The 16882-nt window shown below is 44.9% G+C and overlaps 1 protein-coding gene across 16 annotated transcripts in view, besides 3 other annotated features; it reads left to right on the top strand.

Moving 5' to 3' along the window:
- Positions 13625–14644: a silencer, noted in NCBI's record as "silent region_17370". NCBI's record gives its function as "represses an Ori minimal core promoter by ATAC-STARR-seq in GM12878 lymphoblastoid cells {active_cell/tissue: GM12878}" and the evidence as "EXISTENCE:reporter gene assay evidence [ECO:0000049][PMID:35858748]".
- The window catches only part of SYNCRIP (synaptotagmin binding cytoplasmic RNA interacting protein), a 36087-nt gene continuing 32924 nt past the window's right edge, over positions 13720–16882 (top strand). For 7 of the 16 annotated variants that reach the window (NM_001159674.2, NM_001159676.2, NM_001159677.2 and 4 more), the window contains exons 1-2: positions 14704–14793; positions 16139–16298. In NM_001159674.2, coding sequence (NP_001153146.1) covers positions 16151–16298 — 148 coding nt within the window. In that variant the 5' untranslated portion in view covers positions 14704–14793; positions 16139–16150. Of the gene's footprint in view, positions 13841–14703; positions 14794–16138; positions 16299–16882 lie in introns of those variants that run through there. The other 9 variants (NM_001439160.1, XM_017010178.3, NM_001439161.1 and 6 more) reach the window with 2 other exon arrangements.
- Positions 15235–15384: a silencer, noted in NCBI's record as "silent region_17369". NCBI's record gives its function as "represses an Ori minimal core promoter by ATAC-STARR-seq in GM12878 lymphoblastoid cells {active_cell/tissue: GM12878}" and the evidence as "EXISTENCE:reporter gene assay evidence [ECO:0000049][PMID:35858748]".
- Positions 15605–15654: a silencer, noted in NCBI's record as "silent region_17368". NCBI's record gives its function as "represses an Ori minimal core promoter by ATAC-STARR-seq in GM12878 lymphoblastoid cells {active_cell/tissue: GM12878}" and the evidence as "EXISTENCE:reporter gene assay evidence [ECO:0000049][PMID:35858748]".

Raw genomic sequence — 16882 nt, 5'->3', positions numbered from 1 at the left:
TTGTCAGATGACACAATTTCCTTACACCAGCTTTCATTTGTATCCACTGTTTTTCATTCCCTCTCACTACAATAGTATGGTGTCCTCTGGAGTAAGGCAAATTTCTCCTCCAGCGTTCTGAATCACATTCATTCATTCAACAAATACAGAATTTACTAGTTTGTTATAGGTTGAATTATGTCTTCCCAAAAAAGATATGTTGAAGTCTTAATCCCTAGTACCACAGAATGGAAATAGGATCATTGCAGATGTAGTGAGTTAAAATGAGGTGATGCTGGAGTAGGGTGGGTCCTAATCCAATATGACTGCAGTCTTTATAACAGAGGGCCATAAAAAAGACAGAGACACAGAAAGAATATCATGTGATGATAAAGGTGGAGGTTGGAGTTATGCAGCTGCAAGCCAAGGAATGCCATGGATTGCCTGAATACCACCAGAAGCTGAGAAGAGACAAGAAAGGTTTCAGAGGGAGCATGGCTCTACCAACTTTGATTTCAGACTTCTACTCTCCAGGACTGTGAGATTAGTAGGACAGAGTGTTCAGATGTAAATGGACAAAAAGCCCTTTTTGGATAGGGTGGAATTCAGGGTGGGAAAAGAAGGGGAGCAGGCTTGAAGTTATGTGCCTACATTGAATTCTGAGTCCAAGAATTCTAAATTGGAACCTGAATCTTTGAGGTCACTATGAAGTTATATAAGTTGAGGTAGAAGGGTAGAAACCTTTTTTTTTTTTTTTTTTGAGACGGAATCTCTCTGTCATCCAGGCTGGAGTGCAACGGTGCCATCTCGGCTCACTGCAACCTCCCCCTCCCAGGTTCAAGCAATTCTCCCACCTCAGCCTACTGAGTAGCTGGGATTACAAGCACCTGCCATAATGCCCAGCAAATATTTTGTATTTTTGTAGAGATGGGGTTTCACCATGTTAGCCAGGCTGGTCTTGAACTCCTGACTCAGGTGAACCACCTTACTCGGCCTCCCAAAGTGCTAGGATTACTGCTGTGAGCCACCACGCCCGGCCAGAACACATTTTATTTATTGGTTTGTTAGATTGGTCTACGGTTTTAAATAGACTTAAGGGTATGTAGGCTTCCATTTGCACTCTTGCCCCACGCTCTCCAAATGTTGGGGGCAAATATGTGGAGCTTCATCCAACTTGAGGAAGGGGCATCTTTTTTGGATAAAGTCACTTTCCACTGCCCCTTCCAGCCTTCAAGGCCTGGTCTTCACAATCTCTAAGCTATATCTGCCTAAAGAGAATACTTATTTCTAATTCACACAAAGGCTCAGTGTAGTCTAGTAGAAGACAGACAGAATTTTTTAAAAGTAAAAGTGAACATGCAATAGAAAATACAAAAGAGCTTTGGACATAGTAAAAGTATTCGCATGAAATATAGTTCTTATATACATATACATGAAATGTGTAAGCTGGTGGTATTATGAAATATATCTTTTTCTTTTAGTCATGGTCAAAAAAGTGCGAAAGCCTCAGCTCCAGGTGGTGTGCAAGGGTTTCCTAATATGACGGTATATTACCTCTCCAATATCACATCTTGCAAGAAGTTCTCCTTCCCCAGCCCTGCCTTTTGCCCACTCTGCATTCTGACTACAATGAACGTTTTTCCATTTCTAGAAGCCCCCATATTTATCTTACCCCTCTGCTTTGACACATGTTGTTCCTTCAGCCTGGATTCCTCTTTCCCTACCTCTTCACCTAGATAATGCCTATTCAGACTTGAGGTCCCAGTACAGACTGCCTTAATTGAAAGCAAACATCTGTTTGGTATGGCAAACATGCAGCAGATTTCTGCAGGAGGAGTCTAGCAGGTAACAGTGCTGAGAAATTTGTGTTCCTCTATGCTAGTCTTAGGCATTTATAATTTGATGATAGAATTGCAATAATAATTAAATTGTTTTTAGAGATGGAACTCACTCTTTTCCCCAGGCTAGAGTGCAGTTCGAGATCATAGCTCACTGCAGCCTGGAATTTCTGGGCTCCAGAGACCCTCCTGTCTCAGCCTTCCGAGTAGCTGAGATTATAGGTGCTAGCCACTGTTCCTGGCAATAATTTAAGTTAAAAAAATAAAATATCAGGTTTTATTTTTGTGTTCTAGAAGTTTATTTTATCATTATGATACTCATATTTGGCCTTGGTCTTGTTGAATGTTGATTTTAATGCTCAGCTTTTGTTATTCAGCCCAAATAAATGTTTATTGCAATTCTATTTTGATCTTTAATTTTTTGTTTAATCCAAAATATACTTAGAATAATTTATTTTAATTTTTGTTTTAAAATCAAATTGGGCCCGGCTCAGTGGCTCACGCCTGTAATCTCAGAACTCTGAGAGGCCGCGGCGGGCAGGTCATGAAGTCAAGAGATGGAGACCATCCTGGCCAACATGGCGAAACCCCATCTCTACTAAAAAATACAAAAATTAGCTGGGCGTGGTGGCACGTGCCTGTAGTCCCAGCTACTTGGGAGGCTGAAAAGAATCACTTGAACCCGGAGGCGGAGGTTGAAGTGAGCCGAGATCCAGCCACTGCACTCCAGCCTGACGACAGAGCGAGATTCCGTCTCAAATAAATAAATAAATACATAAATAAATAAATAAAATCCAATTAAATATTCTAACTGGGGCATAGTTTTTGACTAACCTTTTGTGGTTAATTTGTAGAGGTATGAAATTGAATTCAGAAGATTTAGGCTATTCAATTTTGCATTTTAAAATTTGTTGGCTGCGAGCGGTGGCTCACGCCTGTAATCCCAGCACTTTGAGAGGCCGAGGCGGGTGGATCACCTGAGGTAAGGAGTTCAAGACCAGCCTGACCAACATGGTGAATCCCCGTCTCTACTAAAAATACACAGAATTAGCCGGGTGTGGTGGCGGGCGCCTATAATCCCAGCTGCTCGAGAGGCTGAGGCAGGAAAATCGCTTGAACCCGGGAGGCGGAGGTTGCAGTGAGCCAAGATGGCGCCATTGCACTCCAGCCTGGGCAACAACAGCAAAACTCCATCTCAAAAAAAAAAAAAGAAAAAAAAATTTGTTGCAGGTTTTTTTTGTGACCTAGAGCATGATTTTTGTCAGTATTCTTTTTTTTTTTTTTTTTTTTTGAGACAGCGTCTCGCTCTGTCACCCAGGCTGGAGTGCAATGGCGTGATCTCGGCTCACTGCAACCTCCGCCTCCCAGGTTCAAGGGATTCTCCCGCCTCAGCCTCCCGAGTAGCTGGGACAACAGGCACCCGCCACCATGCTCAGGTAATTTTTATACTTTTAATAGAGACGGGGTTTCACCATGTTGGCCAGGATGGTCTCGATCTCTTGACCTTGTGATCCACCCGCCTTGGCCTCCCAGAGTGCTGGGATTACAGGCGTGAGCCACCGCGCCCGGCCTTTTGTCAGTATTCTTTAAATGCTTGAAAAGTTGTACTTTCTGTAAAGTACCAAGTTCAACATATATATAAAATACTACTTTAAACTAATTAAATTACTTAATATTATTGTCCTTCTTTATTTATTGTCAGCCTTAGCCTAGTAAAATGCAGTATTAAAATCTCCTATGGCACTTTTATTTCCTTTTCATGCAGTTTTATTTCTTCCCATCCCTAAGGCTATATTTTCCTTCTGCCCAGTAACTACCCTTTCTGTACTTTAACACTTGTACGTCTTTTCCAGTTATAGAGTGGGTTTTGAGCATTTTTAGACTTTGGGGTTTGTATTTGTACTCTTTTCCCTAACCAACATTTACACAAAGTAAATACACACACGATTGAATCAGTTTAGCAACTGATTTAATATTGTAAAAGTTCTATTCATTTATTTATATGAAAATTCCTCTATATAAAATTGCCAATTTAACAATAAATTTAAATAATTGTCAAGATCATGAAAAAGGAGGTAGATCAAAATATGCTTATATAACAGAAATACTCAAAGACTTTTATTATGGAATTGTTTCTAATGGATTAAAAAAAAAACCAATCCAACCAGTAATAGTATGGCTATAGAAATTATGAAACTTCTATAAAGTAAAATTCTATGCAACTATTGAAAATTGAAGTATATGAAGTATGAAGTATACTGACAAGAGAACGTGCCCAAATATACATATTAGGTGAAAAAGCTAGTTATAGTCATAAGATGACATGTATGATATGAAACCATTCTTGTTAAACATGTGAAAATAATATTAATATCTAGAGAGAAAGAAACTGAAAGAAATACACATATTTTTATATAGTAGCTCTATTTGGCAATGAGATTACAGGACATTTTTACTTCTATTTTATATGTTTATATAATGGTTGAATTTTTTATTGGAGCATGTATTATCTTTTATAACAAAAAATATAGAAAATAAAAGTAGGACTACAGATATACAAGTTAGTAATCTGATAAACTATATGATTGTCCTTGTCTTCTTGGAGAAATCTGTGATTGAGTTATCTAGAACTTTTATTTCCTCATATGCTTCTTGCTGGCTTTTCATCTCTTCACTAATCTCTATGCAAATACAGGGAGAGAAGAACTAGTCACATTTTATCAGCTGAGTTGAAAAAATAGACACAATAATGCAATTAATTTATATAAGTGGTTAAGTCTCAAGTGGCTCTATTCTAATTGGGTCCTTTTGTGCTAGATTAAAGACCTCAATCTAGCCAAATAAAGGGAGGGAGTATTATTTATTTTAAGGAAACATGTTAAGTAGAACTTTCTGCAAAGATTGGAAAAGTTCTACATTGATGTGTTCATCTCAAGTCACATGTAGCTACTGGGCACTTGACATGTAGCTAGTGTGGCTGAGGAACTGAATTTTAGACTTTGTTTTATGTTATTTCTTTAAGGCGGAGGCTCGCCCTGTTGCCCAGGCTGGAGTGCAGTGGCTCGATTTCGGCTCACTGCAAGCTCTGCCTCCCGGGTTCACGCCATTCTCCTGCCTCAGCCTCGTGAGTAGCTGGGACTACAGGCGCCTACCACCACGACTGGCTAATTTTTGTATTTTTAGTAGAGATGGGATTTCACCGTGTTAGCCAGGATGATCTCGATCTCCTGACCTCGTGATCCACCCGCCTCGGCCTCCCAAAGAGCTGGGATTACAGGCGTGAGCCACCATGCCTGGCCGACTTTATTCTATTTTAATTAATGTAAGTGGCCACATGTAGCTAGTTGCTATGGTTTTGGACATTTTCATTCTAGTTTAGAAGAAACTGAAGAAACAACAAAATGCAATGTGTGAACTTGGTTAAATGTAGTGAGAAGCACATGCAGAAGTGCTGGTAGGTTTTCATCTTCATCTTGCTCTCCCCTGGTCTGTAGCCAGTTCTTTTACCCAATTGTGAACCAACAGCGACCACAGGCCTGCCACCAGCCACAAAACAGCCTTTTTTTTTTTTTTTTTTTTTTTTGAGACAAAAATCTCGTCCTGGAGTGCAGTGGTACAATCTCAGCTCACGGCAGATTTGACCTCCTGGGCTCAAGTGATCCTACCTCAGCCTCCCAAGTAGCTGAGACTACAGGTGCGCACCACTTTGCCCTGCTAATTTTTGTAGAGATGGGGGTTTCACCATGTTGCCTAGGCTGGTCTTGAACTCCTGGGCTCAAGCGATCTGCTGGCCTCAGCCTTCCAAAGTCCCAGGATTACAGGTGTGAGCCACCATGCCTGGCGAAGAACAGCCTTCTAGATAGTTCCTTTTCATGGTCTCACTCCAGGAACGAGACATGGCTGGCTTCCAGATTGTCCTGTAAGCTCTCCCCATTCACCCAGCCTTGTGAAGGACTGGTTAGTGACACTGCTCATTCTCCAAGTCTCCCTTTTGGATCATTACTTTCTCAGCTTCTCTCATCTCATATAAATTCTTATTCCTGTAATAAAACCTTTATTTCATAATACTTATAGTGATTTTGCTTCCCTGATTGTTTCCTCACTGACACAAACTTGAAATCTGTTACTCTCCCTTCCTTTCCAGCTCAGTCAGTGTTACAAACAACCACCCAATTGCTCCCTTACTCCCTACTTTCAGTCCATCATTAAATCTTTGGCAAACTATATTTGAAAATACACTGTGAATATGCCCACTTCTATTTCCTTCACAACACCTTTAGTCCAAGTAACTGCCACCCCTCATCTGGTGCCACTTCTGTCCTCAACCTCCAATAACTATTCAGTTTCTAAAGTTCTAAATACTAATTTTATTTCATCTTATGTTTATTTATTTATTTTTTGAGATGAAGTCTCACTCTTATTGCACAGGCTGGAGTGCAGTGGCACAATCTCGGCTCACTGCAACCTCTGCCTCCCTAGTTCAAGTGGTTCTCATGACTCAGCCTCTCCTGTAGCTGGGATTACAGGCGCACACTACCGTACCCGGCTAATTTTTGTAGTTTTAGTAGAGACGAGGTTTCCCCATGGCTGGTCTTGAACTCCTTGCCTCAAGTGATCCATCTGCCTCAGCCACCCAAAGTGCTGGGATTACAGGTGTGAGCCACCACACCTTGCCCTAAACACTAATTTTAAATATTTGAAATCTTTCAATGACTTCCCTGTATAATCTGGCTTCCTGCTAACTTCTCCAAATTCATCCTGGGCCCTGCTTATTTATAGTTTCTGTTGTCTTATAACTTAGTTTGACATGACCTCTCATAGCCCCAGCTCTAACTCCCTCCTCATGACACTGATTCTACCTTTGGTTTTTTTTCTATAGGAATCTTCTGGTGCCAGATGCTGGTCCAATTAGTTGTGGCAAGGCAAGGATGAGTGGGTGTTGCAGAGTAAGACAGCCTAGGCTGCTCCCTTAGCAGGAGCTTTGGGTGGAGTCACCCTGGAAAAGAGCTTTCAGATACACCATGATGGACATGTTCAGTGAAAACAACTATCACAATAGTTTTCTTTTTTTGTGCAATGAATCATCTTGAAATCTGAACAACGAAAGATTGCTCTTATTCTGGAACTCCATTCAGATTAGGATGGGAATACCTGGATAAAAACCATTGTTTGGGTTTACATTATCCCTGTTCTTTTTGTAGTTACTGGTATATACTCTGTGGCTTCTGGTAATTTAATCCATCACCTTCTATCATAAAAGTGAAAAGTAAAAAAGCTAAAATGACACTGGGTTTCTAATCTTTACAAAAAAAAAAAAAAAAAGCTAAAACCAATACCAAGAATGTTTAACATTTCTAGTATATTTAAAACATCAGGCCCGGCGTGGTGGCTCACGCCTGTAATCCCAACACTTTGGGAGGCCGAGGCGGGTGTATCACCTGAGGTTGGGAGTTCGAGGCTAGCCTGACCAACATGGAGAAACCCTGTCTCTACTAAAAATACAAAAAAATCAGCCAGATGTGGTGGTGCATGCCTGTAATCCCATCTACTCGGGAGGCTGAGGCAGGAGAATCACTTGAACCCAGGAGGCAGAGGTTGTGGCGGGCCAAGATCGTGCCATTGCACTCCAGCCTGGGCAACGAGTGAAATTCCATCTCCCAAAAAAAAAAAAAATCAGCCTTCTTTTAATGAATAAACAATTATTTTAGTTCACTGTTAGATTTACAGAAAAATAAGAAGGTACAGAATTTCCGTTTACCCTCTCACCAACACCTCCTCCACCCCCTAATTTCCTCTATTATTAACAAATTGCATTAGTCCTGTATATTTCTTCATTTGTTACAATTGACAAATCAATACTAACACATTATTATTAACTAAAGTGTATAGTTTACATTAAGGTTCACTATTTGTGTTTTACATTTTATGGGTTTTGACAAATATATAATGACATGTCTTCATCATTACGGCATCAAATAGAGTAATTTCACAACCCTAAAAATCCCATGTTCAATGTATTCATTTCTCCTTCCCTTCCCCCGAGCTCCTGGCAATCACTGATTTTTTTTTTTTTTTTTTCTGAGACGGAGTCTCACTCTGTTGCCCAGGCTGGAGTACAGTGGCACGATCTCGGCTCATGGCAACCTCCGCCTCCCGGGTTCATGCCATTCTCCTGCCTCAGCCTCCCGAGTAGCTGCGACTACAGGCGCCAGCCACCACGCCCGGCTAATTTTTTGTATTTTTTAGTAGAGATGGGGTTTCACCACGTTAGCCAGGATGGTCTCGATCTCCTGACCTCGTTATTACCCCGCCTCGGCCTCCCAAAGTGCTGGGATTACAAGCATGAGCCACCATGCCCAGCCTAACCACTGATCTTTTTACTGTCTCTATAGTTTTTGTCTTTTCCAGAATGTCATATAATTGTAATCATATAGTATGTAGCCTTTTCTGATTGGCTTCTTTCACTTAGCAATAAGTACTTAAGATTCCTCCATGTCTTTTTGTGGCTTTGTAGGTCATTTCTTTAGAGTGCCAAATAATATTCCATTCTATAAACTTCTGAGTCCGACTTAATAGGGCAGAGATGGACCTAGGCACAAGGGTCTTTAAAGAATTATTTAGGTGATTTTAATGTGTGGACCAAAACAAAAACCACCGATCTATCAATACAATACTGAGTTCTTAAACCTAAACATTTTTACACGATGTCTTATCTACGTTAATAATACAAACAAAAAAAGGGTTTATTTAAAGACAGCTGCCACATTTGTGTAACACTTCAAAAGGATCTATAACACTTCAAAAGGAACACTTCAAATGGAATAATACTCCATTTACTAAACAACAATAATATTTTGTTTATTAAAATAAAACAAACTAATAAAAAATATTAGTTTGTTTATTCATTCACCTATTGAAGGACATCTTGGTTGCTTCCAAGTTTTAGCAACTGTGAATAAAGCTACTGTAAACATTGGTGTGCAGGTTTTGGGATAGACATGTTTTTAACACATTTGAGTAAATACCAAAGAGTGTGATTGCTGGATTGTATGACAAAAGTATGTTTAGTTTTGCAAAAAGCTGCCAAACTGTCTTCCAAAGTGACTGTATCATTTTGCATTCCCACCAGCAAAGAATGTGAGTTCCTGTTGCTCCACATCCTCATCAGCATTTAGTGTTGTCAGTGGTTTGGATTTTGGCCGTTCTAATAGGTATATAATAGTATCTCACTGTTTTTTTAAAAAATTCATATATAATATTTGTACATATTTATAGGGTACATGTGGTATTTTGATACATGCTACAATGTGTAATGATCAACTCAGGGTATTTAGGATATCCATCACCTTGAACATTTATCATTTATTTGTGTTGGGAACATTTCAAATCCAGTAATTTTGAGATATACAACATATTGTTAACTATAGTCACCCTCCTGTGCTATTGAACCCTAGAATTTATTCCATCTAACTGTATGTTTGTACCAATTAATGAACCTCTCTTCAACACGCCTCCTTCCCCTCAGACTTTGGTAACTATCACTCTGTTCTCTACCTTCACGAGATGAACTTTTTAAACTCCCACATATGAATGAGAACATATGATATTTCTCTTTCTGTGTCTGGCTTATTTCACTTAGCATAACGGTCTCCAGATTCCATTTATCTTGCTGCAAATGACAGAATTTCGTTCTTTTTTATGTCTGAATAATATTCCATTGTGATATATACCACATTTTCTGTTATCCATTCATCCATCAATGAACACTTGGGTTAATTTCATATCTTGGCTATTTTCTCACTGTTTTAATTTGCAAGTCCCTGATGACATATGATATTCAGCATGTTTTCATATGCTTATTTACCATTTGTACATCCTCTTTGGTGGGCTATGTGTTTAGATTTTTTGCCCATTAAATTTTTTTTTTTGCCAGGCATGGTGGCTCATGCTTTTAATCCCAGCATTTTGGGAGGCTGAGGCGGGTGGATCACTGAGGTCAGGAGTTCTAGACCAGCCTGTCCAAAATGGTGAAACTCTGTCTCTACTGAAAATACAAAAATTAGCCAGACCTGGTGGCAGAAGCCTGTAATCCCAGCTACTCAGGAGGCTGAGGCACGAGAATTGCTTGAACCCAGGAGGTGGAGGTTGCAGTGAGCCAAGATTATGCCACTGCATGCCAGCCTGGGTGACAGAGCAAGACTCCTTCTCAAAACAAAACAAAACAAAACAAAAAAAACAAAACATTTTTTTTTTGTTTTTTATTTGCCTAACACTTGATATCAACGTTTTTGCCAATTTTTCAATTAGGTTGTGTGTTTTCTTATTGTTGAGTTTTAAGAATTCTTTGTATATTTTATTGAATAACAGCCTTTTATCAGATATGTGTTTTGCAAAGATTATTTTTTTTCCCTAGTCTGCGGCTTGTCTTTTCATTCTCTAGACAGTGTCTTTCTTGGAACAAAAGTTTTTAATTTTTGATAGGGCAGGCTTTTTATTACTATGAAAATAAGATGTGAGAGATAGTGCCGCCGGGCGCGGTGGCTCACGCCTATAATCCCAGCACTTTGGGAGGCTGCGACGGGCGGATCATGAGGTCAGGAGATTGAGACCATCCTGGCTAACACGGTGAAACCCCGTCTCTACTAAAAATACAAAAAAATTAGCTGGGCGTGGTGGCGGGCACCTGTAGTCCCAGCTACTCCGGAGGCTGAGGCAGGAGAATGGCGTGAACCTGGGAGGCGGAGCTTGCAGTGAGCCGAGATTGCACCACCGTACTCTAGCCTGGGCAACAGAGCAAGACTCCATCTCAAAAAAAAAGATGTGAGAGATAGTGCAAAAATTTTCTTGATTACTAGAAAGATTAGGTTGAATGGCTTCCATGGTCTCTTTCAACACTAGCTTTTTATGGTTCTATGGAAAAAGTAATGGTGTGCTGTGAATTTTTACCCTGTGAATTGAAGGGTTCCCTGGCCCATTATAAAATTAATATATGTTAATGGCAGGAAGTTTAGAAAATGCAGTAAAGAAGAGAAGAAAATATGCAAAAAACAAAACAAAACAAACAAACAAACAAAAAACAGTGTGGCAGTGTGGCATTGACTGGGTGGAAGAATTTTGGATAAGTAAAAAATCCAAACAGGCCTGCCTACATTCCTCTCTTTCATTAGTTGCCAACTCAACAGGGCTGCATCTTCTCACTGTTTCAAAGCTTACATGGACGAAAAGACAGCAATGAAACTAATGAATACTCTGTCGGGAGCAGTGGGTCACGCCTGTAATCCCAGCACTTTGGGAGGCCGAGGAGGGTGGATTACCTGAGGTCAGGAGTTCGAGACCAGCCTGGCCAACATGGTGAAACTCTGTCTCTACTAAAAACACAAAAATTAGCTTGGTGTGGTGGTGGGTGCTTGTAATCCCAGCTACTCGTGAGGCTGAGGCAGGAGACTCGCTTGAATCCAGGAGGTGGAGGTTGCAGTGTGCTGAGATCCCGCCACTGCACTCCAGCCCGGGCAACAGTGTGAGACTCCGTCTCAAAAACAAAAAACCAAAAAACGAGCCCTGGCGCAGTGGCTCACGCCTGTAATCCCAGCACTTTGGGAGGCTGAGGCGGGCTGATCATGAGGTCAGGAGTTCGAGACCAGCCTGGCAAACATAGTGAAACTCCCAACTCTACTAAAAATACAAAAGAATTAGCCGGCCATGGTGGCGGGCGCCTGTAATCCCAGGTATTTGGGAGGCTGAGGCAAGGAGAATCACTTGAACCTGGGAGGCGGAGGTTGCAGTGAGCCGAGATCACGTACTGCATTCCAGCCCGGGCGACAGTGCGAGACTCCGTCTCAAATAAAAAGAAATGCCAGAATCAAGGGAAGGCCAGGCTGAAGCCATAAAGTGGCTGAGATGAGCTGGGGAGACAGGTGGGACAGATCTTAGAGAGCTTTGTTGATCTAGTTAAGGATTTTGGCTGTTGTTCTAAGTGTAATTGGAAGCTAATGAAGGGTTTTAAGCAGACACGCCATAGGATCTTACTTGCAATTAAGATAGAGAAGGTCAAGGGAGGGAGAGAGCCTACACAGGAGACAGAGAGTCATACAGAAAGACAGATGACTTGGGCTTTGAACAGATTAGGACAGCTGTAAGAGTGGATGAATCAGGAGGCTATGCCATTAGTACAGGTGGTAGATGATGGTGGCTTTGCCTGGGTGGTTGCAACATAGAGATAAATGGAGATATATTTGGGAGACAGAATTGATAGGACTTGATTAACTGATATGGCAGTGTAGAGAAGGAAGTGCCTTGAATGATCCGCTCCAGCAATTCATGTGGGGGATGTTAATTGAGATGGGAACTCTGTAGACGGAAGACTGGGGGAAGATCACGTGCTCAGTTTCTTGAAATGCCCATCTGGAGTGCCAGAAAGCCCACATAAACATTGAGGGCGTGGCTAGAGAAAGGAATTAGATGTCAGAGAACAGCTAGAGATTTTAATTTGGGAGCTTTGCCCAGGTTAAGGCACTTTAAAAAATTTTTTTTAATACCCAGGAAGGTCTAAACAAAGTGTTACATGTTTCAGACTCATTTTTATTCTTTTTTTTTTTGAGACGGAGTCTCGCTCTGTCGTCCTGGCTGGAGTGCAGTGGCGCGATCTCCGCTCACTGCAAGCTCCGCCTCCCGGGTTAACGCCATTCTCCTGCCTCAGCCTCCAGGGTAGCTGGGACTACAGGCGCCCGCCACCACGCCTGGCTAATTTTTTTGTATTTTTAGTAGAGACGGGGTTTCACCGTGTTAGCCAGGATGGTCTCGATCTCCTGACCTTGTGATCCGCCCGCCTCGGCCTTCCAAAGTGCTGGGATTACAGGCGTGAGCCACCGCGCCCGGCCAATTTTTATTCTTGTTTAATCCATGGTATGACTCTTATTTTCATAGTTTTCTATTAAACATTTTGTTTTTCATGTATATCATTAACCACGACCTCTGCATTGTGAACAAAAATCCCTATGGCTGAAGCAGCTGAATATCACATATGTTTGATAGTAAGGAATCTGGGGTGGTGGAGATCTCAAATCCTTACTAAACAGGTTGGCTATGTGGTGCTTTGGCTAAAACATACTTCATATCTGATCCAAGTAGCTATGAAAATAATCTAGCATTTTATGTGCTTGTGCACTTTGAAGAGTGTTTATCTAACTTTTCCTCAAACCACTGATTTGTTATCATAGCACAGAGCTCATCTGGGGAACCAGTAAGCTCTTAAAAATAAGCTTTTTAATCAAAAGGACATTGTTTCTATTTTTCATTACAGCTGCCCTGGATAAAATTAGTATCCATATCGCGTCTGTAATTCAAATGCCTTTGTCTTGTCTTTCTTGTACCTAGTAAACGATTATAAAGGAAACGTCATTTCACAGAAGATTTAGTTGCCAAGGTTTTTTTTAAAAGAAACACAGACATTTTTCTCAAAGTTGTTCTAACCACGCAGCTTTGTGCTGTTTCAAGTTGCTCAAACTGTGCCAGGAGGAAGCCCTTAACTGCTTAAAAGGCCAGGGACTGAAACGGAGTATTGCACAACCCTTCACCACCGGGCGGTTTCGCTTCCAAATCTGGCCTTCGTGTCATCCCAAGGCAGGAGCCGCTCCTCGCTCCACTGGAGCCAGCCCCGTTCCCCCTTCAAAAGCAGCCGGGGTTTCCGCGTCCAAGCCTGGGGCGCCCCTCCCTTCGCCGAAGGTTCCCGTGAAAGCGGAGCCGCGCGGCTGCGAGGAGGGCCCACTGTCCAGTTGGGGAGATCGAGTCTCCAAGGGCGACTCTCGCACTCGAGTACCGCCAGTCCGGCGGACCAAAGGTCCGCGGGTCTCCGCGCCGCTCCCCTCCCCCTTGGCCCCATTGTCTGCCTCGCCCCGCCCCGGGGGACACGTGCGCCTGCAGCTTCCCGAGGAGGAGAGCGCGGGGCGGTGGCAGCGGCGTGGACACCGCCTGGAACGGCTACGCGGCCGCGGAGCCGGGGGCGGGGGCCGGGCGCGCACAGACCGGTGGGTGCCCTCCGGGAAGCGGCAGTCGCACTCAGCGCCCACAGCACTCTGCCCCGCCAGCCCCGGACCGGGCAGGGATGGGGCGGGCGGGAGCTCGGTGGGGGTGGCGTGCGCATGGTGTCGCGGGGAGGGGGTGGGGTGGGGCGGGGTGGGGAGATGCCAGTCTCCTGACAAAGGAAAACGAGTGGGACACGCTGAGCCGGCCCGCCCCGCCTGGAGGGGAGAGGGAGGGGGAGTGTCGGGAGGGGAAGGGGCGGGCCTTTCATTCAGTCTCGGCCCCTCGGCCGCCACCGTCGGAGCGGAAGGGCGGGGTCTTGTGCCTCCCCCACCCCCAACCCAAGGGGTGAGGAGCGGGGAAGGCGGCGCGGCGTGGGGGCGGAGCCCGCGGGCGCGCGTCCCGAGGCGTAGGCTACGTTGTCACGTCAGCGCGGGAGAGAGAAAGAGAGGAGCCGACTCGGCAGGGACTGGGGGACCGGGCCGAGAGTGCGAGCGAGCGAGGGAGGGAGTGAGGGAGCGTGCGAGCCAGAAGGGGAAAGGCGGCCACTCGTGCCTGAGCGACCGCAGAGGGGAGTGGGAGCAGTGGGGTAAAGGAGCGGGGGGCGGGAATAAGAAAGGCCGAGAGAAGGCGGACAGAGGCTAGTGGTGGTGGTGGTGGTAGGGGGAGAAGGAGGAGCTGGAGGAGGGCAGGGGCTGAGGGAGTGAGTGAAGCGGACGCGCGAGGGAGGGGAGGGAAGGGAAGGGAAGGGAAGGGGGGGTCACGCGGGGGCGCGCGCGCGCACCGGGAGCGCGCTCGGAGGCGAGTGGAACTGGATCGGGTTTGCTGCCAGCGGCGTGAGCTTCGGCCGCCATTTTACAACAGCTCCACTCGCGCCGGACACAGGGAGCAGCGAGCACGCGTTTCCCGCAACCCGATACCATCGGACAGGATTTCTCCGCCTCAGCCCAACGGGGAGGTAACGACTGCCAGAACCTGGGTGTGGGAGGGGAGCTCCATGACATTGTGGAGTGAGCTGGGGGAGGGTGGCGCGGGTAGAAACCGGCTTTTCTGGAAAATGGATTCCAATGGGGAGAAGAGCACGTTGACTGGGGCTGCCTGGGAGTAGGCCGCGGCCCGCGCCGCCACTTCCTCCTTTCCATGTGCTGCTGCGGTTCGGGCTTTGTCTGCGGCGCTTTGGGAGGAGGCGCCTCCACGGTCCCGTGGCCCGCACGGACCGCGAGCGGCTTCAGAGTTGGTGCTGTCGTGGCGGTCGCCGCGGCGCGGGAGTGGGCGGAGAGGAGTGGGTCTTGTCCTGCAGCCGTGCGGCGAGCTTGGGCGGTGCTCACGGTCCCGCGGGCGTTGAGCCGTCCGCTGAACGCCCTCACGCTGCTGGGTTGCCGGGCAGGCGTCGCAGTCACTGCACGGAAGGGTAAGGGGTGGGGACCTGCACAGCGCGCCACGGGTCACGTCTCGGCCGGGCGGGCGGCCGGGGGTCGTCGGCGCCCGGGGAGCGCCAGGGGCGGAGAGCCATGTGTCACGGCGGAGACGGCGGCGCTGGGGGGCGGGGAGAGCCTGTGGCCTGGCGCCGCCGGTGCCTCGGTGTTCAGGGGAGAGATTGTGCTGCTGCAGCTTTCTGGGGGCTCCGACCGCGGCTTCGGGTTGATGTTGGGAACCAGTGATGGTCGTCTTGGTTTGGGATTCGTTGGGTTGCCGTTGAAGGAAGTTGTAGGACATTGGAAGGCGCAGAGCACGTGTTTCTAATGGGCTCCTGGCGGCCGCAGTGGTGAGACTGCCGCTCTGGGTGCGGAGTCAGGGGCGGGCTTTGGGGTGCGGGGTTAAAGGGTGGAGAAATTGGGTGGTGGGAAGGTGGCTTGTATGAGCGCTTTGTTCTTCGCTGGCTGTTGTTACCGATCTATAAGCGGCAGGCGGGAAAAGCGCGCACTTTGGGGGTTTATCTTTGAGAGAGAGGAGCCCAGTTTTGCTTTCTCCACACACACCTCATTTTCCGAACGGGCACAGCTGCATGTGGCACGCTGGCTCGTACCCGTGCTGATTGGGCTCTATTTGTAATATGGTTTTTCCTAGGGAGTGTTAGCAGGTGAGTCAGGGGTGGTGCTGAGGAAGAATATGGTGAATCGGTCCTTCTGTGCCCTGTGCTCCAAATCTGGCTTGTCAGGCGATAGTGACTGTAAGGCTTTTTTAAAGGGAGGTATAGGCTAGCTGGTGTAGTAAATGGTAGAGAAAGTAAAGATGGGGCTCTCATATTGTCTTGTATTCTTTTTGAAGATCCTAGTTTAATTTTGCTTATTGCGTTTGAACAGATCTCTGGAAACATGGCTACAGAACATGTTAATGGAAATGGTACTGAAGAGCCCATGGATACTACTTCTGCAGTTATCCATTCAGAAAATTTTCAGACATTGCTTGATGCTGGTTTACCACAGAAAGTTGCTGAAAAACTAGATGAAATTTACGTTGCAGGTAAGAACTAACACTTGCAAAATTACATTATGAAATTTTTCTATTGGATTTCTGGCTTTGAGCTAAAATAGCAACTTTTTGTGGTTTCCAATAAGTGTGGGTACTGGAGTTTTGCTTGTTGTGATAGTTGGTTAATTTAAGTTTGAAGTAGAGGTTAAGATGTATAGAGGGAGGGAAGAAGAGAAGGTTAGGAGCTAAAGGCTGGCTTGCATGCTGGCCTGATGGATAAGTATATGATAGTAGCAACAGCTGCTAAATGTTGGGAACAGGCCATGTGACTTTTTTGAGTATTTTTATAGTAGGATTCTTCTTAAATAACTTGGTAACTGTAGACTTGTTTTCTTGTCTTTCTGGTGCGGCTGTTAACTTTTTCTGGTGGTATTTGAAATTGAGTAGAGGTTCAGTTGTCATGCTTGGTACTTTGTTGGTTGATTCTAGGATTCGTAAGTCTGTATACTGTAAAAATACCGTAGTGTTCAGAGTTATCAGACTTTGGAGATAAAAGATGTAAAAGAAGTTAGCTGATTATTGTAAGTGTGGTTGGTAGGGCATATTTAGTTCAGGATTCAGTTCAGAGTGGCTGA

The sequence above is a fragment of the Homo sapiens genome, chromosome 6 (genome assembly GCF_000001405.40).
Source record: "Homo sapiens chromosome 6, GRCh38.p14 Primary Assembly".
Classification (NCBI taxonomy): Eukaryota; Metazoa; Chordata; class Mammalia; order Primates; family Hominidae; genus Homo; species Homo sapiens.
This window is presented reverse-complemented; position numbering and strand designations above follow the sequence as displayed.